Source organism: Homo sapiens, chromosome 7 (assembly GCF_000001405.40).
Source record: "Homo sapiens chromosome 7, GRCh38.p14 Primary Assembly".
Taxonomy (NCBI): Eukaryota; Metazoa; Chordata; class Mammalia; order Primates; family Hominidae; genus Homo; species Homo sapiens.
The window spans coordinates 101797654-101824297 of record NC_000007.14 but is presented as its reverse complement, the minus strand read 5'-3'; the positions used below and the strand labels follow the sequence as shown (position 1 = coordinate 101824297).

General features: G+C 47.4%; 1 protein-coding gene across 25 annotated transcripts in view, besides 12 other annotated features; it reads right to left on the bottom strand.

Annotated features, from left to right (window-relative positions):
- The window catches only part of CUX1 (cut like homeobox 1), a 467952-nt gene extending 459661 nt beyond the window's left edge, over nucleotides 1-8291 (bottom strand). For 17 of the 25 annotated variants that reach the window (NM_001913.5, NM_181500.4, NM_001202545.3 and 14 more), the window contains exon 1: nucleotides 8205-8291. In NM_001913.5, the coding sequence (NP_001904.2) occupies nucleotides 8205-8267 (63 nt within the window). In that variant the 5' untranslated portion in view covers nucleotides 8268-8291. Of the gene's footprint in view, nucleotides 1-6628; nucleotides 6673-8204 lie in introns of those variants that run through there. The other 8 variants (XM_005250154.4, NM_181552.4, XM_005250150.4 and 5 more) reach the window with 1 other exon arrangement.
- Nucleotides 2510-3212: an enhancer, noted in NCBI's record as "H3K4me1 hESC enhancer chr7:101464366-101465068 (GRCh37/hg19 assembly coordinates)". NCBI's record gives its function as "activates a minimal SCP1, AML or CMV promoter by ChIP-STARR-seq in naive H9 embryonic stem cells {active_cell/tissue: H9 hESC(naive)}" and the evidence as "EXISTENCE:reporter gene assay evidence [ECO:0000049][PMID:30033119]".
- Nucleotides 6723-6772: a silencer, noted in NCBI's record as "silent region_18496". NCBI's record gives its function as "represses an Ori minimal core promoter by ATAC-STARR-seq in GM12878 lymphoblastoid cells {active_cell/tissue: GM12878}" and the evidence as "EXISTENCE:reporter gene assay evidence [ECO:0000049][PMID:35858748]".
- Nucleotides 6823-6892: a silencer, noted in NCBI's record as "silent region_18495". NCBI's record gives its function as "represses an Ori minimal core promoter by ATAC-STARR-seq in GM12878 lymphoblastoid cells {active_cell/tissue: GM12878}" and the evidence as "EXISTENCE:reporter gene assay evidence [ECO:0000049][PMID:35858748]".
- Nucleotides 6923-7002: a silencer, noted in NCBI's record as "silent region_18494". NCBI's record gives its function as "represses an Ori minimal core promoter by ATAC-STARR-seq in GM12878 lymphoblastoid cells {active_cell/tissue: GM12878}" and the evidence as "EXISTENCE:reporter gene assay evidence [ECO:0000049][PMID:35858748]".
- Nucleotides 7073-7392: a silencer, noted in NCBI's record as "silent region_18493". NCBI's record gives its function as "represses an Ori minimal core promoter by ATAC-STARR-seq in GM12878 lymphoblastoid cells {active_cell/tissue: GM12878}" and the evidence as "EXISTENCE:reporter gene assay evidence [ECO:0000049][PMID:35858748]".
- Nucleotides 7488-8416: an enhancer, noted in NCBI's record as "H3K27ac hESC enhancer chr7:101459162-101460090 (GRCh37/hg19 assembly coordinates)". NCBI's record gives its function as "activates a minimal SCP1, AML or CMV promoter by ChIP-STARR-seq in naive and primed H9 embryonic stem cells {active_cell/tissue: H9 hESC(naive and primed)}" and the evidence as "EXISTENCE:reporter gene assay evidence [ECO:0000049][PMID:30033119]".
- Nucleotides 7488-8477: a biological region, named in NCBI's record as "H3K27ac hESC enhancer GRCh37_chr7:101459162-101460090".
- Nucleotides 7503-7662: a silencer, noted in NCBI's record as "silent region_18492". NCBI's record gives its function as "represses an Ori minimal core promoter by ATAC-STARR-seq in GM12878 lymphoblastoid cells {active_cell/tissue: GM12878}" and the evidence as "EXISTENCE:reporter gene assay evidence [ECO:0000049][PMID:35858748]".
- Nucleotides 8248-8477: a silencer, noted in NCBI's record as "silent region_18491". NCBI's record gives its function as "represses an Ori minimal core promoter by ATAC-STARR-seq in GM12878 lymphoblastoid cells {active_cell/tissue: GM12878}" and the evidence as "EXISTENCE:reporter gene assay evidence [ECO:0000049][PMID:35858748]".
- Nucleotides 8518-8907: a silencer, noted in NCBI's record as "silent region_18490". NCBI's record gives its function as "represses an Ori minimal core promoter by ATAC-STARR-seq in GM12878 lymphoblastoid cells {active_cell/tissue: GM12878}" and the evidence as "EXISTENCE:reporter gene assay evidence [ECO:0000049][PMID:35858748]".
- Nucleotides 9827-10236: a silencer, noted in NCBI's record as "silent region_18489". NCBI's record gives its function as "represses an Ori minimal core promoter by ATAC-STARR-seq in GM12878 lymphoblastoid cells {active_cell/tissue: GM12878}" and the evidence as "EXISTENCE:reporter gene assay evidence [ECO:0000049][PMID:35858748]".
- Nucleotides 19884-20433: an enhancer, noted in NCBI's record as "NANOG hESC enhancer chr7:101447145-101447694 (GRCh37/hg19 assembly coordinates)". NCBI's record gives its function as "activates a minimal SCP1, AML or CMV promoter by ChIP-STARR-seq in primed H9 embryonic stem cells {active_cell/tissue: H9 hESC(primed)}" and the evidence as "EXISTENCE:reporter gene assay evidence [ECO:0000049][PMID:30033119]".

Below are 26644 nucleotides of genomic sequence, written 5' to 3'. Positions count from 1 at the left end.
GGCCAACATGGTGAAACCCTGTCTCTACTAAAAACACAAAAATTAGCTGGGCGTGGTGGTGCACACCTGTAATCACAGCTACTCGGGGGGGCTGAGGCACGAGAATCACTTGAACCTGGGAGGTGGAGGTTGCGGTGAGCGGAGTTTGTGCCACTGCACTCCAGGCTGGGCGACAGAGTGAGACTCCGTCTCAAAAAATAAAATAAAAAGAGTTGATATTCGTTCTGTCTTAAAGATATTAAACTATGTTAGAGAAAACAAAATCATGGCAATTCATTAGGGAGAAAGCCCCAGTTTAAGAAAAATTGTCTTGCTTTTGGGGGGAAATGGAAAGAAGCTTTTGTGTTGCATTTTGTTTTTCGGTTTGGTTTGGTTTGGTTTTTTCATATGCTGGGTGGACAGGATCTGAATGTCTTACATTTAACAAAAAGCTGTCAACACCCAGATAAATTTTTAATGACGGTACGACAGGCATTCTATTTCTCACTGTTTCGCAATACTCACTTAAGAAAGAGCTAATTTGTCAATTTGTTTTTCCCTTAACCAAACTCGGAACACCTCATAACCCATGGTTTACTTGTTAAAAAAATGTTAACTGCATTTCCTTATTGAATAAACACAGCCCAATAGAAAGGTATCTATAAGAAAACAAGCAGTGTGCCAGCATCCACTCAAAGTAACCCCAAGAAAGAACAAGCCACTTCCCTGGTGTCTCAGAGTAAGCTCTGTTAATTTCCTGCTTTGTTAACTGCATCAATCACACACGGTCAAGACCATCCAGACCATCCAAGATCTCAAGCTTCGGCTGATGGAGTCGGCCAGGGCCCGGTCCACTCTGGGGGGTCGTGTGCTTTATAAAGGTTCGGACCCCTTATTGGGCTCATTTTCACAAAGGTTTTCATGAAAGGAAGCAGAACCAAGTCAGTTTCACTTACTAGGAAACTCCCGGCTGGCTAGTTCTTGAGTTGCTGGCAGTGTTAGTAAATCCCTAGGAGGAACACCACCATCCTTGGCTCCGTTCCAGTCACCTGTGTGATTATGTTTCTCTGTGTAGGAAGACCCCTGAGGGTGGGATCTGTACCAGTCCTGCTTGTGGGGTCAGCCAGGGATTGGGCGACGAACTTTGTGGCCACAGTACCTGCACTTCCCATGGCCCGAGGCTCTAATCAACACAAAATTTCTGCCAACGGTCCTGGGCCTCCTGCAGTTAGGAAATGCCGTTGGATTAAAATAAAGAAATTGACAATCTTTATTTTGTGCACTAACATCATCCTCTCTGAATTTAATTACAACAAAATTAAAATTATTTTTATTAGAGAGGCATTAGCTTTTTAAAGGGAAGGTTCTTGACAGGTTTTACAACAAATTAGATGTCTTTTTTTTTTTTTTTTCTGAGACAGAGTCTCGCTCTGTCACCCAGGCTGCATGCAGAGCAGTCACACGATCTCAGCTCACTGCAACCTCCACCTCCTGGGCTCAAGCAATTCTCATGCCTCAGCCTGCCGAGTATCTGGGATTATGGATATGCGCCACCACGCCAGGCTAATTTTTGTATTTTTAGTAGAGATGAGGTTTTGCCATGTTGGCCAGGCTGGTCTCGAACTTCTGACCTCAAGTGATCTGCCTGCCTTGGCCTCCCAAAGTGCTGGGATTACAGGCATGAGCCACCGTGCCCGGCCTTAGACGTCTTTCGAAAAGAATGGTTCACCCTCACTGTGTAATACCCGAATAGGGCAGCACAAATGCTTTTTAAAAATCTTTTAAGTCACAAGCCAGGTGCTTCAAAGCTGTTTCAGGCGCAGGACAAATGAGGGGAACGGCACAGGTTCCCCTCAGTCCTGGTTCATTTCCTGCAGGGAAACCTCCATCCCCGCCAAAGACCACTCTCCTCCATCAACCTTCTCAGAAGACAGCAGAGAAGCTGGACTGATTACAGCTCAGCAAATCCAAAACTGCTCCATACCAAACCTTAGCTGTCCTCAGCAGGAAAATCCAACACTGACACACCATCGAAACTTGGTTCTGAAACACATCCCAAAACCAGGGTGATCGACAGCTTTTCAAGACCACGCCTTGAAAACTGGAATGGGTCAAATAACACAGTCAATCCAGAGGGCCCTGCCATTAATATTTAAGAAAACATCGGCCGGGCACGGTGGCTCACGCCTGTAATCCCAGCACTTTGGGAGGCCGAGGCGGGCAGATCACGAGGTCAGGAGATCGAGACCATCCTGGCTAACACAGTGAAACCTCGTCTCAACTAAAAATAGAAAAAATTAGCCGGGCGTGGTGGCGGGCGCCTGTAGTCCCAGCTACTCCGGAGGCTGAGGCAGGAGAATGGCGTGAACCCGGGAGGCTCAGCTTGCAGTGAGCCGAGATCGCGCCACTGCACTCCAGCCTGGGCCACAGAACCAGACTACATCTCAAAAAAAAAAAAAAACAAAAAAACAAAAAAACTAGCCAGGCATGGTGGCGGGCGCCTATCGTCCCAGCTACTCGGGAGACTAAGGAAGGAGAATGGCCTGAACCCTGGAGGCGGAGCTTGCAGTGAGCCGAGATCGCACCACTGCACTCCAGCCTGGGCGACAGAACCACGTCTCAAAAAAAAAAAAAAAAAAAAAAAAAAGAAAAAAGAAAAAAAGAAAAGAAAAGAAAATAGGGGCCGGGCACGGTGGCTCACGCCTGTAATCCCAGCACTTCGGGAGGCCAAGGCGGGCGGATCACTAAGTGAGGAGATCGAGACCATCCGGGCTAACACGGTGAAACCCCGTCTCTACTAAAAATACAAAAAATTAGCCAGGCCTGGTGGCCAGCGCCTGTAGTCCCAGCTACTCGGGAGGCTGAGGCAGGAGAATGGTGTGAACCCGGGAGGCGGAGTTTGCAGTGAGCTGAGATAGTGCCTCTGCACTCCGGCCTGGGCGAAAGAGCGAGACTCTGTCTCAAAAAAAAAAAAAAAGAAAGAAAATATCCCCCTCACCAAGTTAATACTTTTATGGTTGCTGGTGGAGCTTATATTCTCTAAATGTAGAATTTTTTTGGGGGCGGGGGGGAGTATCTTCTCTCTGAATTCTATATCATTATTGGGGTATAATAAAATGTACCTACATGCTCTGGTCAGTCAAGGTTCATCAAGTCAGAAATCACAAATGAATTCACAAATTCTTTGCTCTAAAGTCATATAACAATGCAGATATTAAATTGCTTGTCTAACTATACCATTAGATTCCTTTTTCACTCCATTATCGGCACACACACACACTTCTCTCGGCATCCAGGCATTCACAGGTATCCAGTTCCTAAAGCGCCCAGCACGACTGCTTTGTCCAGGTAAGCAACAGTGGGACATAAGGAGAGGCTGTGGGGCCCCTCTTCAAATAGCTTCGACAAAACGAATGGCTATAAGTGAAAAGTGTCCCTGGGCTTTGCTATAAAAAGACTCAAACATGGGATTCCAAGAATTCCACCTGTTTCCAATTAGATACCAGAATTGCTTGAGTGTTTAAGCTACACTCGCTTGCTACTTACACAAAACAATTCTTCCGGGTTTTGTGAACATTTTAAATATGTTAAAATAAGATTAAGGGTCTGGTTTAAACAATCGGAGGCAGGGAAATTTCGGTGGAAACCAAAACTCTCTCTCTGCAGCGATAACGCGGGGCTTCAGACAAAACAAAAGGACAAGACAGACAAATTTCTGTCTTTGACAATTATAATAAAAGTCACTTTTCATAGAGCAATTACATTTTTTAAAGTTATGTATTCAATAATTTTAAATAGGTCTTAAGTAATTTCTACAATAACTCACGATCCTGGATCCTGTATATTTGAATAATGGTTAGAGTTGCCTTTTACATACCATTTGTGTTACAATTCGTCAGATATACCTGTCTGTGAAATTTACATGTGACAAATGTGTAAACTATTTGAAATGGAAGCACGGGTAGGAATTTAACCTACCTCTGTAGGATTCTTCATATGATGAATTTCTCTGCTTACGAAATGTATGAGTTTTCCCCTAACAAACGTGTCCTTCCTTCATTTCACTAAAAACAGACGTTCCTGGGGCATTACAGAGGAGCTGAAACAAATGTGGATTTTCTACTTCTAGTCTTGTGTTCTCTCCTAAGACACAGAAAGTGAGTACAGCCTCAGGAGTGGTTTTGATTGTTTACTGCTACAGGTAGACCCAGAAGGGAATCAGAGAGCACAAACTACTGTTCCTTCACAGCTCCCATATAAACCCTGATGGGTTTGTCTTAATTGTACAAAAACAGGAGACTTTTTAAATAGCCATTAAAGGTTTCAGGCTCAGCACAGTTCACCAGACTGCATTTTTAAGGTTAGCTCAGTGGATTTAGGAGAGAATCATTCCTGAAGGTATTGGACTATTTGGCCCTTTCAGCTTTCTTAGGTTGGCTAACTACCGACAGAAGATACACGAAGCCGAGGATGTAGTCAAAGGGCTCTCTGTGGACTCAACTGTACCAGGAGTTGTTGCATTAACTCACCACTTGCACCTTTAAGGAAAAAAAGAGTTTCACATAGGAAAAAACTTAAATCAACTGCCAATGACCCCTTCCCACATCCAACCTCAAAGACACCCATATTAAAAGAACCAAGAAAACAAAAGCAGGAGCAGCAGTGGTGTAATTTCTTGAACTGCTCTTTTATAAAGGGTACTAGATGGGACATTTTAATTAAAATAATATACTTATTATGGCAAACAGTACTGGACAGCCAGTAACATACACACTTCCACAACAGGGGGAAAAAAAGCCATCAGAAAATGGACTTTCAGCAAAACTGAAATTGTTTTTTGATTCTGAAAAAGAAGGCAACTTTTCAAGTTTACTTTTGCAGAAGCTGCTTAAAGGGGAAGGCTGGTCACCATGTGGGAATAATGTCCCAAAGGGAAGGCAGTCATTGGCGGGCCCCGTCCCAAAGAGTTCAAAGCTCCACTAACATACAGAGTGCCATGAGCTTTGTCTTAGAAAGTGTCCTCCTTTCAAATATGTATTTAAAAGACAAATTTATACAACAGTGCTTTTCTTATTTAAAAAGAAAAGAAAACCTGGTTTTTACAAGTCTGAGATAGGATAAAAAACTTGTCCAACTAGTCTTAGCAATACCAAAGCACTGAAACTTCCATACCACAAGCCTTTGGGACTAAAAAGGAAACGGAATAAAACACAATCTTCAGAAATTCTCTTCCTGAGCACACACTCCTGTGCCAAGGCAGCAGCTTCAAGACCCAGGAAGCCGAGGGACAAGAACCCAGTGAGCCAGGGTTGCAGAACTGCGGAACGGCCCAACCTCACCTGGACCCGCTGACGTCTCCAACCTGGATTTCTCTCTGCAAAGACCGATCAGCCTCTTTACCCCCAGGTGGCAACCCAATCTCAGTATAAAGAGGTCTGGAAAAATGAGAAAAATCTGGAACTAATGAATTCTCTCCCAAACTCGTTCTATTGACTCACTGACTATCGGTGGGAATTAACCAGACACCAACTCCAAAGGCCTCCTCACCGCCCAGAGAAAGAACCAGATTGGCCTGAGACTTGAACTTTGACATTCCGTATTCGACTAAAGTTTGCAAACCCATAGGAAATCATCTAAGGCCAAATCGTTAGCAACCACCAAAAGCAAAGGAGTAAAGAGGAATGAAGTTCAAATAAGGGACTTTGTTTTGGGGTTTGGTTTTGATTTCTTCTTAATATCCACATAAAGTGCAAGTAAACTGACATGGAAACTTTCGATGGAACCCTGGAGCCCTGATCCCCTGAAGAAGTAGCTAATATGGGGGACAGGAAGGTTTAGAGTTCTTAAAATCTAGTAACTCTAGAAACCAAATCCATTTTCCAGGCAATTTTGCCAGGATGCTTTAAAAAAGACACTTCATTGATATTAAGCTAGGATGTCACATTTAGGAAGACAAGAGAGAAAAATAATAATAATGTTTGTCCTTAAAACTCCACAACGGGTTTTACAGTAAGCACAGGAATTAAATTATGGTAAAAGGGAGCTATTTTTACTAAAACAGGGTAGACCAATTTATCAAAAATGCCATTCGGCTGTGTTCATTACATCCAGGAATCTAATTTACACAATAGACACTTTGGAGTAATCTATTTTAGTCAATAAATACTTAAACTCCTTTAAGTTTTAATCTTATCGGAAATACATATTTCGCATAGTCTTCTTCCTAGTTAAGCGAGAAATTTCAGGAAATTTCATAACGACTATGACTCGGCTTTATCGTTCTTAGTAGGCAAGAGCAGAAAACAAGCATATACAATTAAAGTTGTCAGATTCCATTTAAATATGTTTTAATCCAACCCGCTTCGTTTGATACAAGCCTGCATCTCGAGCTTTGCTCCCAAAGGTATTGCGGTAGGTCACTGTCACCAGTCCTCCAGGTTAGGAAAGTTCAGCCAAGTTTATCTTCACGCACACCTTAGCAGTTGGGAGTAGCTGCAGTTCCCCAGGGGCCCTGAGGAACCCTCCTATCCCCTCCCAGAGCACCAGGCCGCCCTAGAGCATTCTAAGCCGCGGGACCCGGGCACCCCCCGACATCCCCGGTTCCCTCCGCGCCTGCAACCTCGGGACTTCTGGCCCACACGCCGCTCACCTTCAACCTGGCTCCGGCTACGCACAACATCCACCTGGCAGAGTCCCGGGGCTGTCCCGGCGCCGCGGGCGCCGAGCTGGCACGTGCGGGGCGGACCCTAAGGGTGCGCCGCTCCTCCGGGCGGGGGGTGGCAGGCAGGCACTCGCCCCTTGGGCACGGCGGCGACTCGGGCGCGGGCCGGGGAGCCCCGGCACGGTCCCCCCGCGGCGCCGGGGACTCCGCGCGCGGACCACCGCCCGGCATGCCACGGTCCCAACGGGCCCCCGGGGCTCTGCTTTCGAGAACCCGGCCCGAGAAGGCATCTCCGAGCGCACCCGCCGCGCGCTCCATGGCGGGCCCTGCAGAGAGGGCAGAAGCCCCGAGGGGACGCAAGGAAGGGACCCGGCGCCGCAGGTCACCGGGGGCCGCCGGAGCCCCCAGGCGCGCGGCGATCGCGGCTCGGACCGGCGGCGGGGAGGCAGCGTACACTGCCCGGGCACCCGGGGGAACAGCTTGGGGCCTGCCTAGGGGAAAGTTGCAGCCTCCTCCTCCCGCGCCCGCACCCGGCGGTCCGGGACACCGGGACCCAGCGACACTGCGCGCGGGGCACCCCCGCCGCCCCTCGCCAAGTTTCCCCAAAGAGCCCCCGCGGGGGTCCGCCACGGAGGAACAGGTCCGCGTCACCGACACAGGCACACAAAAGAGCGCGGCGGCCGCGAGGTGCGCGGGTGGCCCCGGGGCGCTCCCCGGGACGTAAACAAACCCGGGGGTCCGCGCCGGGAGCCACACGCGGGGTGCCGGAGCGGCGGCGCGGCCCGGGCCGGTGACAGCCGGGGGCGGCGGCCGGGGCCGGCCGGGGGTAGCGAGCGCGGGCGCCTGCCCGGCCACCCGCCCGCCTGGCCGGAGCCGGGCCGCGCCGCCGCCGCCGCCGCCGGTGGCCGCTCTGACCCTCCCCCGAGCCGGCGGCACCACAGCGCCACCAGCCCCAGCTCCGCCGCGCCGGCGGCAGTGGCGGCGGCTCCTCCTGGAGAGGCAGGCGCTTCACCCCCCGCAGCAACTCCCCACAAACTTTCCCCGGGAATACGGCGGGCCGGGGGCGCGGGGCGAGCGGGCGGGCGGGCGCCACCGCCGGGCCGCGGCCCCCTCCCGGCGCCCGCCGCCGCCCGCCCCCCGCCGCCCGCTCCCCGCTCCCCGCTCGCGCGCGCACCCCGCGGGCCGCCGGGGCCGCCCCCTCCCCGGTCCCGCGGCGGCAACGGCGGCGGCGGCGCTGGCGGCGGCGGCGGCGCGGGGCCCGGGGGGGCGCCCGGGGTGGGGGCAGACACCGGGGGCAGTGGTGGCGGCGGCGGCTCCCGGCGCCATCTTGGGCTGATCGATGAATTGAACAAAGAGGATCAATTTCCGATCAAGCGAGTGATCAATGGGGGCCGGGGAGCGGGAGGGACTCGGCCCCGACTCGGCCCCGCGGTGCCCGGCACCCCCCTCCTCCCCGCCGCCGCGGGCCCCCCGGCGGCTGGGCCAGCCCGGGGCCCCCGGCGGAGGCCGCGACCGCCCGCAGCCCCCACCCCCGGGCGCGAGGCCGAGCGCGGAGGAGCCTGACCTGCAGCTGCTGTAAATCAAAGCGCTTCCAATATTGAAACATCGATCCCACATTGGCCGCCATCTTGAGACATATTGAGACGGAGTGAGCGGCTGATAGAGAGGGGGCTGGAGTTCAGGAGCCGCCAGGAGGCAGCAGGCGGGCGGCGCCAAAACCCGGCCTGGAGCCGGCCGCCGCCGCCGCCACCGAGGACGCGGACTCCTCCTCACGGCACCGCCGCAGCCATGGCGAGCCCGAGCCGGAGCCGGAGTCGCAGCCCCAGGGCGCGGCGGCCGCGGCCCGGCCTCGCGCGCGCGGCCCCGGCCCCTGCTCCCCCAACCCCCCCACCGCCGCCCTCCCCCTCCCCTCCGCGGGCCGACCGGCGACCCCCGCCCCTCGGGACAACCCCCCCCAAAGTCCGCGGTCGCGCCGGCCACAGACCCGGCCCCGAGGGGGCGCTGGAGGGCAGCGCCCGGGGTCCCCCGGCACCGCGCACCTGGGGAGGGCTGCGGGGGTGGGGGGGGTCTCCCGCTGGGATCGCGATCGCCCGCGGTGGCCGAGCGCAGCGCCTTCAAGACTCCGGTTGGGGGGAACGTCGGAGCGCCCCTGTAGTGGTTAGTGTACAGAGCGCGGAGACGCCGCTACCACCTGCCCGGGACCCCCCACACCCGACCCCTGCGTGGCCCAGGCCCCCCGCAGCAGCGTGCGTGGGAGGCGCCCCGACGGTGGACGGCAACACTCTGATCCCTCTGCGCCCAGCGAGGACCGGGACACCGACACGACCAGGAACAGCGTGGCATGTTTGGAGGAGTGGAGTTGAGGGGGAAACAGCCCTGACCCTCTCAGGGGGCCGCGCGCGTGGATGCCCCACACCCGGACAGCGGCGGTGCCAGCGTCGCACCCGAACGCACCCCAACGGCGGTAGCGCTGGGGGTCCCGGCAGCCCCCATTCGCCCAAGCCGTTCCAGTTTAGGCCACGACAGGAAAAGTCTGGGAGCCCAGTTCTGTGTCCCCCCGCGCCGCTTCAGCGGAACAGCCCAAGAAACTTCCTGTGGTTCAGACACCTTGGTTTGTTGCAACTTTGGGCGCAGAAAGTTGGAAAGTGTGGGTGCACTCACTGAAAACGGAAAGCGTGGTCCCAAGTTTACAGAAATGCTAAAATGCAAACCAAAAAATAAATTCTCTTTTGATTTCTCTCCTCGCGGAAAGCTGGCGAAAGCACACGTTTTATGATCGTCATCTTTCATTGATTATACACACGTGTGACTTGGAGTTTCCAGTAGGAATACTGTTCTTTGACTCTCCCGTACTTCACTGAACGAGTAATTAGTTAAAACAAGTCCCCAAATTCCTTAATCTCAAAATGCATATGTAAATAGAATCTGCATAGGATACAAAATAAAACGCGCAAGTGGAAAACAATTGCTTTTCAAGTGAGTTCGAGGGTTGGCGCAGTGAATTCGGCATTTTTGGAGGAAGAGGCTGGAAATGAAAGTCCCAAGATTTAGAGAACACGCGTGTCCCCAGGTCTTGCGCAGCTGGCCAGGGGCCTCAGTTTCCCCAAGGGGAGGCCCCTGATGTCGGGAACGGGGTTCACTGTCTCCCCAACGCAACCTTGACTCGCCGGTGGGTGGGAGCGCGCTGGCGTCGGGGGGCACGTTGCGAGCCTCCACCCTAGATGCGGTGACGCCGCGCACAGCAGGGCACTGTGGATCTCGGGTGGCCAAGGGCTGCCTCCGTGTGGGGCGCCCCGGCCCGCGCGCTCAGTCGGCCGGCCGCCGCGCTGTAGCTCCGACCGCGCCGCCCGGTAGAGGGCAGCGGCGCCCCGACACTCGGGTCCTCGGGTCCTCGGGTCCCCGCGCACGTGCCCACCGGCGCGCCCAGGCCCCCGCGCCTGCCACGCCCTGTCCCGGAGTCAGGCTTCTGGCGGGAAGCGGCATTGCCACCGAGGGACATTCCTGTCCCGGGGAAATGCGACTTCTAAGGATGCCTGCACACTCGGGGAGGCGGCGGGGGTGGGGGGGGGGGTGCTTCCGCCTTCCCCTGGCATGTCTATTTCTGCGGTGGCAGGCAGGCGAGACCTAGGAATTGCGCTAAAGGTGGCTAGACAAAATGTGCAGGGGCTTAAAAAAAAAAAGAAATCCCTCCCATGGGGAAGGCTCAAGGAAGGATCAGGGAAATGGTTTGGATTTGATGCAGATGTTCTCAATCTAATTATCGTGTAGATCCCCTGGGTTTGAACCAAAAAAGTGAAATATATATGACCTGTGTAATACTCCCGAAATACATCTGGTTGGAATTCAGTATTCTGAATCCATGGCAATATTTTAGAAATAAATCTGATGACTATTAAATACCGTTGTTACATTTCTGGTTATATTTATATTATTTACATGCTAACCTGACTTAGTACAGACACACTATATTGGATGGCCCAGAGGTTAACCTCTATTTAAATACAGTTGAGTTCTCCCACCAAAGTTTTGGGTTACATAAACCTTGTTGCTCTCTGCAGGGGGTGGTGGGAAGGGAGGAGTTTAGAATAACTTTCACCAGCACCATAAAACGTTACTTTGTAAAAAGAAATTCATTCAAAATAAACCACTGATCAAAAGTTATCTGCGTTGAGTGAAACAGCAGAGACCTAAAAAAAACTTTTTAAAGTGCACTTTATTTTTCTTGAGCAAGTATAGACACAGAATAAAAGCAAATTGTATTTATTTCCAAAGACTATTTTGTTTCTTTTGTATTGTTTCAGATTGATTTTTAGCCCCACCATTGTAAAAACCCAGGAGTACCCACTGGCAGAGTGGATCTACAAAGATGTGCGCTGCATAAAATATTTACAAAATATTTTATAGGTTTTAGGACCTAGATTTCCACTGGCACCTACAAAGATAATACAGTAATGGCTATGACCTCCCAGAGCACGGTGTGAGAGGCAGGTAAGTTCTCAAGATAAATGGCCCAGTACCAAGAAATACCTAGGGCACCTGGACACATAATTAATATTACTTAGAATGAAAAACAAGGAAAAAAAAAAAAAAAACAATCCACAGGCATTTGGTCACTTTTCGACACTCAGGCTCTCCCTTTAGGGGATGAAATCTCACAGTTTCCAAGTATATGACCAATTTGCCACCCAAGCTTTCAAAATCAAGCCCCCAGTCATCAGATGGAGGAACTGACCAAGATGATGTTTGTTCCTGACGCCTTTAAATGAAATACAGCTTAGCCCCAAATAAGGTAACTAAATAATTAATATTTGAGCCCAGAATTCCTAAATTTCTTTTCTGGCCCATTTTATTTTGCCTAAAAAGCAGTAAGTAGCCACATGAGGGATGTGATAATACTAACTAATTTAACTTGCAGAAAATTGTAAAGTGCTTTTGGGAGTTCATTCTTTCCTATCTTCCTAACACTAGTGGATTCTCCTTTCCCTGACATCCACATATAGTTTATTAAATCCACTAAAGTAAAAAAAAAATTGTCCAATTCTCCAAAATATGGGTAATTACTACTAAATTGGCCCTCTTTTGGCAGCTCCAAGAAGTGAAAATGTGTCGCGTTGTTTTCTAAAGATTCAAATTTAAAAGTTGTTCTGTTATACTTCACCTAATTCCTTGAAGGAATTAACTATCAAGAATTTCTTCCAAATTGAAAAATGTCTTACACTGTAAGGCATTATTTTAAAAATCCATTTTCTTTATCCCACACAAGATCTTTTATTATGGACTCATACAATTAAATTTCACCTAAAGTTAAGAAACTTTATCCCCAAGAAAAGTTGGGGAATAATCTATAATTTTTACCAAGCTAGAAGGAAAATGAAAAAAACTCAGAAATCAGATATACTTCAAAGGAAAAATCAAGAGGTTCGTTCTAAAACCTTAATGCATTTTCTGAATTTTTTTTTTTTTTGCATCCAAACTAGAATGAGTTTCAAATAGTTTTCAACAAGAAATATTTTGGATAATCAGAAACAATTCATAATGCTAAATGCTTCTATCGTAATTTATTCATAAATAAACATAAAGATATGACTATTTTGATGCATGGTATAAAGGAATCATACTCTTAATAAAAAGTTATGTGGAGAATCTCAATTTTACAAACATAGAAGTTCAAAATTATATCGAGGTAGTAATTCAAGCTGCCTGAATTTGTAAATGTTTTAAATTTAGGACTAAGACCAGACAGAAGTTTTGAGACACTTTACATTTGAAAATCCCTTTTCCTTAAATCAAAAGATTATGAATAACAGAGGAGAATGACTCTTTCTTTTGTCTTTGGCGACTGCCTTTTAGAATGATTTGGCATAGACTACTTGAATAAATGAAAGGAAGATTCCAGATTCTTTTATTTTTTGAGCTCAAGAAAACCAAACAACTTTTAATTGCTCTGTTTTTAAAAGAATATTTTATGTTAATTATTTTTAAGTACACTATTCAGTGTACTATATGTAAATACCCACCAAATAAAAGTATACATTTTGCTACATGTAATTACATGTATAGTAGTACATCATTCATTTCAATACCCTGAATGTATGTGCAGTTATATAATTGTACCAAAAACCTGCCCAACTTGTAAGAACAAACTGTAATGATTTCTAAACAGTAGACTCCTGTTGACCACCCTCCCACCCTGACTCTGGTGACAGCATTTCTCGGTCTCCTTTTGGAAATCTTCAAAGACTTCATGTCTGGCCCACCATTTCCCCCTTCTTTCCACTTCTGGACAGCATATGTTAATGACATTCACTCTAGGTATCTTTCGACACCTCTAATGATTATGTTCTGTTCTCTCCGATTTGTCTTAAACAAAAAAAGTGTACAGCTTGGCCTCTCAGATGGTGGTGGCTTACACTTTGAAAATACATCTATGGCGGAAAGGTGGCTCACGTAATCCCGGCATTTTGGGAGGCCCAGGCAGGCGGATCACTTGAGATCCAGAGTTCAAGGCCAGCCTGGCCAACATAGTAAAACACCGTCTCTATAAAAATACAAAAACTAGCTGGGTGTGGTGGCGTGTGCCTGTAATCCCAGCTACTCAGGAGGCTGAAGCAGAAGAATTGCTTGAACCCGGGAGGCGGAGGTTGTGGCGAGCCGAGATCACACCACTGCACTCTGCCTAGGTGACAGAGTGAGACTCCATCTCAGAAAAAAAAAAAAAAGAAAGAAAAGAAAAAAGAAAAAGAAAAAAAAAGAAGAAAATACATCAAGCTTAATGGACTTGACTCCTCCTTGCTTTGGGACATTCAAGTTTCTGACAAGAGACCTGGAGCTTTTGTTATCACACAAGCTTCCAAAGCCCATCTCACCAGCCACTGACCCCTGGCTGCAATCTCTTTCTTACCAAATTTATATTCTAATATAAATTTGGTTTTCTTTTCTCTTATTTTAATTTATTTTATTTTATTTTTTATTTACTTTTTGAGACAGAGTCTCGCTCTGTTGCCCAAGCTGGAGTGCAGTGGCGCGATCTCGGCTCACTGCAACCTCCACCTCCCGGGATCAAGCGATTCTTCCACCTCAGCCTCTGGAGTAGGTGGGACTAGAGGCATGCACCACCAGGCCCGGCTAATTTTTATATTTTTAGTAGAGATGGGGTTTCACCATGTTGGCCAGGCAGGTCTCGAACTCCTGACCTCAAGTGATCCACCCGCCTCGGCCTCCCAAAGTGCTGGGATTACAGGTGTGAGCCACCGCGCCTGACCTCTTTTCTTTATTTTTTGAGACAGAGTTGCACTCTGTACTCCAGGCCGGAGTGCAGTGACACCATCATGTCTCACTGCAGCCTCAGTCTGCTAAGCTGAGACCACAGGCATGTGCCACCATGCCTGGCTATTTTTTTTCTTCTTTTTTTGTATGGAGCAGAGTTTCCCAGGCTGGTCTCCAACTCCCAGTCTCCAGGGATCCTCCCACCTCGGCCTCCCAAAGTGCTAGAATTCTCAAGCGTGAGCCACCACACCCGGGCCTACATTTTCTTGATATTTTGAGTTTATTCGAATATCAAATCTCACTTTTCCTTTTTTATCTCCCCCACATCATGAGACTCCCACAGAGAGGTCATATTACCCATTTCCTGTACACAATTAAAATAAATGCCATCTTCTGTGACTCTCACTGATGTCATTACTGAATCACTAGAAATTAATAGGGTAACAGTAGCTTGAAAGGGCTTGAGATATGTAAAACACTATATAAATATTATTATTAACTTGCTTAATGTAAAGTTCAAGTTCTGTGCTCAGACTTATACTAATTTCTTTGCTTTCCTCCTGGGAGATATGAACCATGGGCGTTTTATTTATATTGAGTTTCATTATTAATATTGCTCTTATAACAGAAGTTTGCCATCCAATATTTTAAACGACAACTATGTCCCTGGTGCTAGGCCATGTAGGGTATAGACATGGGTTGGGTTTTTTTTTTCCAGTTGTATTCATCATACAAAGCAAAATATTTTTCTACACCCTCTTTTGTGACACGTCTCCACAGTTATACAGTTGGTGTTGAATGAAGATTTGTTTTCATGAAATATAATTAGATTTTCTTTTGTCACAAGCACTGTCAGATTGTATATTGTTTTTTTTCCTGAGTAAGTGTGGTTTGCAAGATTTTGAAAGCTTGTTCCGGCCAGGCGCGGTGGCTCATGCCTGTAATCCCAGCACTTTGGGAGGCCGAGGCGGGTGGATCACCTGAGGTCAGGAGTTCCAGACCAGCCTGGGCAACATGGTGAAACCCCGTCTCTATTAAAAATACAAAAATTAGCTGGGCATGGTGGTGGGCGCCTGCCTGTAGTCCCAGCTACTCGGGAGGCTGAGACAGGAGAGTCGCTTGAACCCAGGAAGTGAAGGTTGCAGTGAACTGAGATCACACCACAGCACTTCAGTGACAAGAGCAAAACTCTGACTTAAAAAAAAAAAAAAGAGAGAAGAGAAAGGTTGTTCCAGTGGAAAATAGGAAATAGAAAAGCTCGTATTTCTAGCAGGAGTAGAAAACTTTTTCACTCCCTCAAGCTCCATGCACGTGAAATATTTGATGTAGTGTCAGTTTTTGAGAGTCTGTATTATAATATCTTTAGAGGTTTAAGAAGCTAGCTTTAACTAGGGTAGAATCTAAGGGGATGTCAACATTTTATTTTTGTGAGAGAGAGGTGAATGGCAGAAGGAAGAAGTAAGGAAAGTAGGCATCGACTCTGGCACTTACTTTTCTTATTAAAATATTCACCCACAGACACAGGCACACACACTTGTATAATTTGAAAAGCCTGTGTGGGCCTGGCATGGTGGCTCACGCTTATAATCTCAGCACTTTGGGAGGCCGATGTCGGCAGATCACCTCAGGCCAGGACTTCAAGACCAGCATGGCCAACATGGTGAAACCCCGCCTCTACTAAAAATACAAACATTAGCCCGGTGCAATGGCAGGTGCCTATAATCCCAGCTACTTGGGAGGCTGAGGCAGGAGAATCGCTTGAACCCTGGAGGCGGAGGTTGCAGTGAGCTGAGATCGCGCCACTGCACTCCAGCCTGGGCAACAGTTAAAGACTGTCTCAAAAAAAAAAAAAAAAAGAAAGAAAGAATGCTAGGGAAAAAAAAGGCTAACTCCTAAGAGTGGGTGTCTCTGGATGATGAATTTATAAGTGACTTATTTTCCTTAATATTTTTTCTTTTCTTTCTTTCTTTTTTTTTTTTTTTTTTTTTTGAGACATGGTCTCACTGTTCCCCATCCTGGAGGGCAGTGGTACAATCATAGCTCACTGCAGCCTCGAACTTCTGGGCTCAAGTCATCAGGCATACACCACCAAGCCTTGCTAATTTTTTTTAAACAATTTTTGGTAGAGACAGAGTCTCTCTATATTGCCCAGGCTGATCTTGAACTCCTGGCCTCAAGCCATCCTCCCTCCTCGGCCTCCCAAAGTGCTGGGATTATAGGGATGAGCCACAGCACCCAGCCTTATTTCTATATTTTATGTATTTTCTACATGAGTACATACCACCTGTATAATGCAGGGAAATAGTAAATGTTATTTAAAATAAGGACACATTAGAGCCTATGTCATCTTTTTTTTTTTTTCTTTTTTGAGACGGAGTCTCACTCTGTCGCCCAGGCCGGAGTGCAGTGGTGCGATCTCAGCTAACTGCAACCTCAACCTCCGCCTCCCAGGTTCAAGCAATTCTCTGCCTCAGCCTCTGGCGTAGCTGGAATTACAGGCGCCCGCTACCATGCCCGGCTAATATTTTTGCATTTTTAGTAGAGACAAGGTTTCACTATCTTGGCCAGGCTAGTCTTGAACTCCTGACCTCGTGATCCACCTACCTTGGCCTCCCAAAGTGCTGGGATTACCGGCGTGAGCCACTGCGCCCGGTCTTTTTTTTTTTTTTTTCTTTTTTTCTTTTTTTTGAGACAGAGTTTCACTCTTGTTGCCCAGGCTGGAGTGTGATGGCATGATCTCAGCTCACTGCAACCTCCGCCTCCTGGGTTAAAGTGATTCTCCTGCCTCAGCCTCCTGAGTAGCTGGGATTACAGGTGCCCACCACCACAACCAGCTAATTTTTTATATTTTTAGTAGAGACAGGGTTTCACCATGTTGGCCAGGCTTGTCTTGAACTCCTGACCTCAGGTGATCTACCTGCCTTGGCCTCCCGAAGTGCTGGGATTACAGAGGTGAGCCACCGTGCCAGCCTGTCATCTCTTTAAACAGTAACTTAACTCTAACCTAAAAGGGGTCCTGTGATCTAGTGATTATAGTAGGCAATTGAAAACAGAGAGGGAAAATCACATCCTAATTTTGCCACTGAGTCACTGTTTCACTTTGCCTCAGGTTTCGGGCCTGTAAAATGGGAATAATTAACACTTTCTTGTAAAATGCTTTGGAGCTTTCCAAGGAAAGACCTTATGAAGGTGCGAAGTATTGTTCTATTAGCGCTAATTGAAGTGAACATAAAAACAAAGGCATTTGAGAGAAATTGAAGTCATTACGGTCAAGTTGAGGAAGGCAGCAGACACAATACCAACTGCTGAACTGGATCTTCGAGATCTTTGTCTTCTTTTTTCTTTTAATTGTTTTTACTTTTTTTTTGAGACAATCTCGCTCTGCTGCCCAGGCTGGAGTGCAGTAGTATGATCATAGCTCACTACAGTCTCAACCTCCCAGGCTCAAGTGATCCTCCCATCTCAGCCTCCCAAGTAGCTGGAACCACAGGCATACACCACCATGCTTAATTGTTAAAAGTTGTCTGTGTTTTTTTTGAGATGGAGTCTTGCTCTCTTGCCAGGCTGCAGTGCAGTGGCATGATCTTGGCTCACTGCAACCTCCGCCTCCCAGGTTCAAGCTATTCCCCTGCCTCAGCCTCCCAAGTAGCTGGGACTACCAGCACGCACCACCACGCCCGGCTAATTTTTTGTATTTTAGTAGAGACAGGGTTTCACCATATTGGCCAGGATAGTCTTGATCTCCTGACCTCGTGATCCACCCACCTCGGCCTCCCAAAGTGCTGGGATTACAGGAGTGAGCCACCACGCCCAGCCTAATTGTTAAATTTTTTGTAGAGACAGAGTCTCGTTATCCTGCTCAGGCTGTTCTCAAACTCCTGTGCTCAAGAGATCCTCTCGCCTCAGCCTCCCAAAGTGCTGGGATTACAGGCATGAGCCACTGCTCCTGGCCTGTATTCTTTAAAAAGGTTTTCTGAGGGGCAGATAAGGATGTCACCAATAATGCTGGAAAGCCCATTGTCCAATCACCAAACACTATGTGTTGAGCAAAGTGCTGTGTCAGACACTAAAAAAACCAACCACATGGCAGAGGTGGACTACGTCCCTGCCCTTAGAAGCTTACAATTTAGTTGGGAGTGGGAACAGGGCAGTAACCTGTGAAAACAATAATGGGCTGGGCACATTGGCTCACGCCTGTAAACCCTGCTAAGACTGGTCTAATATTCAGCTTCCAGGCCTGTCTACCTGAGACCTTTTATTTCAGAAACCAGGGCTGAGACCCCCCCAGCTCTATACAGAGAAGTCAAGTTTCCTGTTTTCTCAAATATCATGCAAATAAAGTCAACAACTGTTCCTAAAGCCTGTATCAGTCTGGTGGTATTGGTGGTGGTGGTGGTGGTGGGGTGTGTGTGTGTGTGTGTGTGTGTGTGTGTGTTTGCTGGAGCAGGCAAGAAGGCAAGGTGGCGGAGTGTATATAAAGTCACCCGAAATACAGTAGCTCCTGCCCGGGAGAGAGCTTAAAATTCAACTGGGAAGACCTGGAAAATGTGTAATTGGTTTGATCCTATTAAGCCAATTATTTGATGTACACACGAAAATTCGTATTTGGTACTACTCGGTTTTATTTGTGAGTCAAGATTTACCTAGAAGACAATGTTCTTAAGACTTCAGGGTCCCTCGTTCTGACTCAGCCATACACCTCTCTTAGACTTCTTTCCCTTTGGGGGACTTCTGAGTTCACGCCTCCCCAGAATAAAATGTTTATGAGAACTCTTGGCAAGGGACTGGGAATAGAGCCACGAAGGGACATCGCTGTTATCTACTGTCCTCCTGAGGTTGGAAAGGCCAGATGGGAAGTCACAAGTCTGCAAGAGTCATCTTTGCCTGTAAAACCACCTAATCACAACAGTTATTGCCCACTGAGCTCTGCACAGCTTCCCTCTAACCCCAGTAGCAGCTTTGCAAGGTACAAAGCATTAGCTCCCTTTTACACAGGGGGAAACTGAGGCTCAGAGAGATTAAAAAGAACTGCTCCACAACGACTTACTCTCTGGTAAGCCAAAGTGTGGACTTTCGGTACCACCCCAGACTTACATGCAGCTGTTTTGCCACACCTGGTCCCCGAACTGGTCAGAACCTACCTGAGCTGTCCAAAAGGGAGCCTCGATATCCCCCCTTCAGGAAGTCCTGGGTATTACCTGCCCAGGAAGGATTCTTTCATCTTACCTTGCAGCAACCTGCTTGCCAGCAATCCTTCCCCGTAGAGGCTTTGTCTCCAGACATCTCTCTGCGGCGGTGGAGGCTCCAGACACCCCGGTCCAGGGCATCTATAATCAAGATTGATAACTTGACCTTGGTCTTGAATGAGACATTGATTGCAAATGAGAGACGTCGGGAAGAGTCAAAAGTCCCCCTTAAGTACAGGAAGACGGGTGGTTGGCAGTCTAAGCAGCTAGAAAAGGGTGTGTTTTCCAAGTCATCATTGGGAATCTACTTGCTAATTGCCGTGGGCTCTATCTTCACTTTAGGGGAGTCTGGTTTCATGGACTGTCTGGGGAAGTATCTGATTAACAATCCCATTCTGGCAGCTATGGCTGGGAGGGTGGGGTCATGAATGTGCTATTACACAGTCCAAGGCGAGCAGTTTAGTGAAACAATTGTAAGTAATTCCAAGTCGGTATCTTAGACTCTCTCATTCCTAAATTTAATACTGACTTGTGAGTGGGAGGTGGGATTAGTTTACACAAGCTCCGTTTATCCGCTAGCGTTTTATTACCAACCAAGTCAGACCAGGTGGTGGGGTTTGGTTTTGTTTTCTTTTGAAACTTGTCTGTGTTTTACTGTTCACCTGGTTGCCTCTTACCCCCACCTGTGATTGTGATGTTTTCTTTTAAAACACACACACACAGACACACACACACACAGACACACACACACACACAGACACACACACACACACACACACACACACACACAGGCTCCCTTAGGAAGAAAAAAAAGGAAAGAAAGAAATGACCCTCTGGTTCCCCCTACCCCTTGCTGTCCCCTGTAGCCTGATCTATTTAAGACCCGTTCTCTTCAAACAGATCTTGCCCCAGTTTCTCCTGCGCCGCCTCTTCCCCTCTGCCCCGTGTCTTGCGCATTTGACACCAACTCAAGAATCTTGTAGCCTCTTGCCTTTCCACTCCCGGCAGAGTTTGTTATTCAGCACTTCAAAGCGGGCACTTGTTTGCACCTCTTGTTTCAAACAATAGACCAAATTTCCTGTTACTGAGTCTCTTAAAAACTGCCTCCCTCGCGCTCCCTGGAACAAATTGCAGCGGGCACTCTGCAGATGAAGAAAAAAGCTCAATCCTCACCCTTCTGCATCTCAGAGGAGCCAGCGCCATGGGGCAGAGAGAAGGTCACAGGTGTGGACATCAGACAGACAGACCTGTGTGCAAACCCTAAGCACTGCATGCTGCTTTTTGGCTGGGTGACTTTGGGCTGGTTACTTAACCTCTCTGAGTCACCTTGTCCTCACCTGTAATATCTGAACCTTACCTAACCCATCCCTATGGCTGTGTTCAAAACGAGATCCAATGCTAGAGGTTAAGATAATTATCGAACATACCTTCTTGTATCTTTGTTAGGATTAAATGAGTTAATACACATTAGACCTTGGCACAATCATCCCTCAGTGACGGTTTTAATTTTTCTTCCTCCTTATTCCTCATTCCAGAAGGGATCTTTGGCCCTGCTCTCCTTCAATAACTCTGTTTCATTGCTATTAGAACATTGCATTCACCAGCCCAGATCCATATCCTATAATGGTCTCAGCCCATTAGGAGTGTAGTGTTTGTTCTTACTTTCTTGTTCCTGGAATATCATTTTTTGCTTAACTTCAGGATGATGAAAATACCTGAGGGATGGAGCCATAGCACTGCAGTTTTAGGACAGGGAAAATATTATGTGTGATGTTGTAATGGTAAGCACGTGACATGCATTTTTCACAATCCTCGGAACTGTACAACTAGAAAGGTAAACCCTAATGTAAACTGTGGACTTTAGTTAATAGCGATGTAATAACAATGTGTCAATATGGTTCTGTTTTTTTGTTTGTTTGTTTGTTTTTCAGAAGCAAAATCTCCCTCTGTCGCCCAGGCTGGAGAGCAGTGGCGAAGCCTTGAACTCCTGGGCTCTGGCGATCCTCCTGCCTCAGCCTCCCAAGTAGCTGAGACTAGGGCTGTGTGCCACTACATAGAGCTAGTATTAAAAAAAAAAAATTTTTTTTTTGGCCAGGAGCAGTGGCTCACACCTGTAATCCCTGCATTTTGGGAGGCCAAGGCAGGCAGATCACCTGAGGTCAGGAGTTCGAGACCAGCCTGCGTGGCGAAACCCCATTTCTACTAAAAATACAAAAACTATCTGGGCATGGTGGTGGGTGCCTGTAATCCTAGCTACTCGGGAGGCTGAGGCAGGAGAATCACTTGAACCCAGGAGGCAGAGGTTGTAGTGAGCTGAGATTGCTCCAATGCACTCCAGCCTGGGGAACAGAGTGAGACTCCACCTCAGAAAAAAAAAATTGTAGAAACATGCTGGTCTCAGAGTCCTGGCTCAAGTGATCTTCCTGCCTCGGTCTCCCAAAGCACTGGGATAACAGGTGCGAACCACTGCACTTGGCCAATATGGTTTAATTTTTGTTTGTTTGTTTTCAAATTTTTTGAGACAGGTTCGTTCTCTGTCACCCAGTGAGGTGTGTCATCATACCTCACTACAGCCTCCAACTCCTGGGCTCAAGCGATCCTCCTACCTCAGCCTTCTGAGTAGCTGGAACTACAGGCACACCCCACCACACCCAGCTAATTTTTTCATTTTTTGGCTGGGTGTGGTGGCTCACACCTGTAATCTCAGCACTTTGGGAGGCCAAGGCAGGTGGATCACTTGAGGTCAGGAGTTTGAGACCAGCCTGGTCAGCATGGTGAAACCCCATTTCTACTAAAAATAACAAAAGTTACCCTGGTGTGATGGTGCACACCTGTAACTCCAGCTATTCGTGTGGCTGAGGCATGAGAATTGTTTGAACCTGGGAGGCAGAGGTTGCAGTGAGCTGAGATCACGCCATTGCACTCCAACTTAGGTGACAGAGTGATACCCTGTCTCAAAAAAAAAAAAAGGTATATGTGTGTGTGTGTGTGTGTGTGTGTGTGTGTGTGTGTGTGTGTGTGTAGAGACAGGGGGTCTCCCTATGTTGCCTAGGCTGGTCTTGAACTCCTGACCTCAAGCGATCTTCCTGCCTCAGACCCCTAAAATGCTGGGATTATAGGCATGAGCCACTGTGCCTGGCCGTGGCGTTACCTTTCCCAGGCTGTGGCCTCAACCCCTGAGCCACTGGCCTCATCTTCCTGACTTGCTAGAAATAGTGGTCGGGGGAAATCACCAAATCCTCTAAAGGCTCTGGAGCCCAAACTAAGTGAAGGAAGCAAAGAGTCTTGTTGCACAGAATAAAAACCGCCTTCCTACCCATCTCAGATCCCACTGAGCAACTGAAGTCTTACTCTTTGGTATCCTGAGGCCAAGATTGCAATAACCATTGAGTAAAAAGCAACCACAATAGGCCAGCAGCCACTTCTAAAACATATTTTAAACACAGATGGAAACTTCCCAGCACATCCTGTCTGGTTGTCTAGTCCCCAAACTCTGTGAGATTGAATTTCCGTGGCATGTCACTGATTAATAAAACCATCAATTTAACATCTATTCCCAACGTGTATCATGGGTGAGACAGGCCCTATTGCTGTTATCTGGAATTGAGCTTGTTCATGATTCATTAGCCAGGTGTGGTGGCACATGCCTGTAATCCCAGCTATTTGGGAAGCTGAGGCAGGAGAACTGCTTGAACCCGGGAGGTGGAGGTTGCAGTGAGCTGAGATCGTACTGCTGCACTCCAGCCTGAGCAGCAGAGCGAGACTCTAGGTGAAAAAAGAAAAAAAAAAAATAACAAAAACAGGTTGTTCATAATTCAACAAAAGCCAAATCACAAAGCCACAGAATTCATTGGGAATTATAGTCGGTAATAATTACAAGTTGCTTTAGTGGTGTGATGAGCAGGAAAAGGCAGAAATTGTGAAGTTTCAGAAGAGGCCCAGTTGCTTGTACTGGTTGTATGACTTCCTTATGCCTCACTTTTCCCATCCATAAAATGGGGGCAATAAAACTTGCTTCACGAGCTTGTAAGGAATAATTAAGATAACACATGTCGGCCAGGTGCTGTGGCTCATGCCTGTAATCCCAGCACTTTGGGAGGCCAAGGCGGGTGCATCACTTGAGGTCAGGAGTTCAAGACCAGCCTGGTCAACATGGTGAAACCCCGTCTCTACTAAAAATACAAAAATTAGCCAGGTGTGGTGGCACATGCCTATAGTCCCAGCTACTCTGGAGGTTGAGGCAGGAGAATTGCTTGTACCCGGGAGGCAGAGGTTGCAGTGAGCCAAGATTGTGCCACTGCACTCCAGCCTAGGCGACAGAGTGAGACGCTATCTCAAAAAAAAAAAAAATGATAACACATGTCCAGTGTCTGTGGGACACCTAGCATGTATAAAGGCCAGTTTCTATCCCAGCACTTGGGGAGGCCGAGGTAGGGGGATGGCTTGAGGCCAGGAGCTCAAGACCAGCCTGGGCAACATAGCAAGACTACGTCTCTACAAAAGATTCAAAAAGTTAGCTGGGGCACGGTGGCACATGCACTTGTTTTCCCAGCTGCTCAGGAGGCTGAGGCAGGAGAATCACTTCAGCCCAGCAGTTGGCGCCTGCAATGAGCTGAGATCGTACCACTGCACTCCAGCCTGGGTAACAGAGTGAGACTGTCTCAAAAAATTTGTTTTTTTAAAATTGCCTGAGCCTAAGAAGATATAGTAGGTGAAAAATGAACATAAAATGATGCGTGGGTGACATCTTCTCTATTTTGCTCTGTGTTTCCAAGCATCTGATATAAATAATTTACAGTGTTAAAAATGAGTTAACAGGCAGGGTTTTTGATGGACAGAAGAAAATTCATTCTAAAAGAGGGCTAGTCTTCATAATGAGAGGCTGCTGAGTGGAGGAAAATTTCGAATTTAGACAAGCATCTTTTACATAGTTATTAATCCGGTTGGATAGAATTTTTAATAATTAAATGGTATTACTGCAATATAAGTGATATTTTATTAAGCTTAAATGAAATGTGCATTTAGGAACTTCATTTGAAACATTGCCTACTTTGTTATTCTATTTTTCATAATTGCATATGTTTGGAAATTATGTTTTGCCTTCCGCACTGTATTATCTGCCTTAGCCCTTTGCCTTATTTATAGGAATGTTATTTCTTATGTTTTAAGGAAATTGATATGAAAGCTCTAAATGACAAACTCCGAAGCTAGCTTCAAAAGTTTCTGACTAATCGCTAATGAAATATCCATAATAGATGAGGAAGAAAGCATAAATCCCAATGAAACACAGCTTCACTTCGTAAGTGTCTCGTGTTTGTTTGACAGCTTTTGAAATTTTCTTTGTCATTTGGAAAATCAATACAAAATACAGCTAAACACCAGACTTTGCCTCTCAGCCTAAGACAAAATAAAAGATTGAAAGCTTCCATATCACCAGCTGTCAATTTTTGAAGATCATATTGCTTAATGCAATAATTTTTTTCTCTGCCCAAACATTACTCAGCCTCCATGATCTCTTGTTAAGACCCAGATGCACACACATTATGTCTGTGAATTCACAAAGACGCGAGACAGCTGGTGGTTATCGGTTTAGTCGATTAATATAGAGAGAATGGTAATGAATGACTACCGTCTCCACCCCTGCCCACTCTTATTTTGAGAGTAAATTGTGCACCCTGGCTTCCTGAAAGAGCACGGATTAACCAGCGCTCCTAACTGTCCTTTGCTTGTTGTTTGTTTGTGAGGTGTTTGTTTGTTTGTTTGTTTGTTTGGAGACTGGATTTCACTTTGTCTTCCAGGCTGGAGTGCAGTGGAGCAATCATAGCTCATTGCAGCCTCAAACTCCTGGGCTCAAGTGATCCTCCTGCCACAGCCTCCCAAGTAGCTAGGACCACGGAAGTGTGCCACCACACCTGGCTAATTAAAAAAAATTTTTTTTTATAGAGACAGGGTCTCTCTATGTTGCCCAGGCTGGTCTCAAACTCCTGGCCTCAAGCAATCCTCTTGCCTCAGCCTCCTGAGTAGCTGGGACTACAGGTGCATGCCCAGCTATTAAAAAAAAAACAAAAAAAAAAACCTTTTTTTTTTTTTTTGAGACAGAGTCTTGCTCTGTTGTCCAGCCTGGAGTGCAATGGCTCGATCTTGGCTCACTGCAACCTCTGTCTGCCGGGTTCAAGCAATCCTTCTGCCTCAGCCTCCCGAGTAGCTGGGACTACAGGCAAGCACCACCATGCCAATCTAGTTTTTTATATTTTTAGTACAGATGGGGTTTCACCATGCTGGCCAGGCTGGTCTCGAACTCCTGACCTCAAGTGATCTGCCTGCCTCGGCCTCCCAAAGTGCTGGGATTACAGGCGTGAGCCACCGTGGCCAACCAAAAACAATCTTTATAGTGATGGGGTCTTGCTATATTGCCCAAGCTGGCCTCAAACTCCTGGACTCAAGCAATCCTCCCAAAGTGTTGGGATTACAGGCGTAAGCCACCACAGCCAGCCTCCTAGTCCCTTCTTAACTTCTCTTAAATCGTCCCTGTTTGATTCTGTTTCCTGCTAGTCCCCTGACGGATACAGCAGGAATTAAAAAATATATATTTAACTTGTACATAAGTGAATGGAAATGAATAAAGAAAACATGTACACAACTTAGCAAAGTAGGATTCAGTTGGGAGCTGGTTCACTTTTCCCTGTTGTTAGTATGCATAATACCACACTTTTCTTTCTTTCTTTTTTTTTTTTTTTTTTGAGACAGCGTCTCGCTTCATCGCCCAGGCTGGAGTGCAGTGCAGTGGCGTGATCTCAGCTCACTGCTACCTCCACCTCCCGGGCTCAAGCAATTCTCTTGCCTCAGCCTCCTGAGTAGCTGGACTACAGGTGCGCCACCACGCCTGGCTGATTTTTTGCATTTTAGTTGAGACGTGATTTCATCATGTTGCCCAGGGTGGTCTTGAACTCCTGAGCTCAGGCGATCCACCCCCCTCGGCCTCTCAAAGTGCTAGGATTACAGGCATGAACCACCACACCCAGCCTAGTATGCATAATACCATAATTTTTTTAAAAAATTTTAAGTTCTGGGATACATGTGCAGAAAGTGCAGGTTTGCTATATAGGTATACATGTGCCATGGTGGTTTGCTGCACCTATCGACCTGTCATCTAGGTTTTAAGCCCCGCATGCATTAGACATCTGTCCTAATGTTCTCTCTCTCCTTGCCCCCCCACCCCCCAACAGGCCCCGGTGTGTGATGTTCCCCTCCCTGTGTCCATGTGTTCTCATTGTTCAACTCCCACTTATGAGGGAGAACATGCGGTGTTTGGTTTTCTGTTCCCGTGTTAGTTTGCTGAGAATGACGGCTTCCAGCTTCATCCATGTCCCTGCAAAGGACATTAACTCATTCTTTCTTTCTTTATTTTTTTTTTGAGATGGAGTTTCTCTCTTGTTGCCCAGGCTGGAGTGCAGTGGTGCCATCTCGGCTCACTGCAACCTCTGCCTCCGAGGTTCAAGTGATTCTCCTGCCTCAGCCTCCCAAGTAGCTGGGATTAATTACATGCATGCAC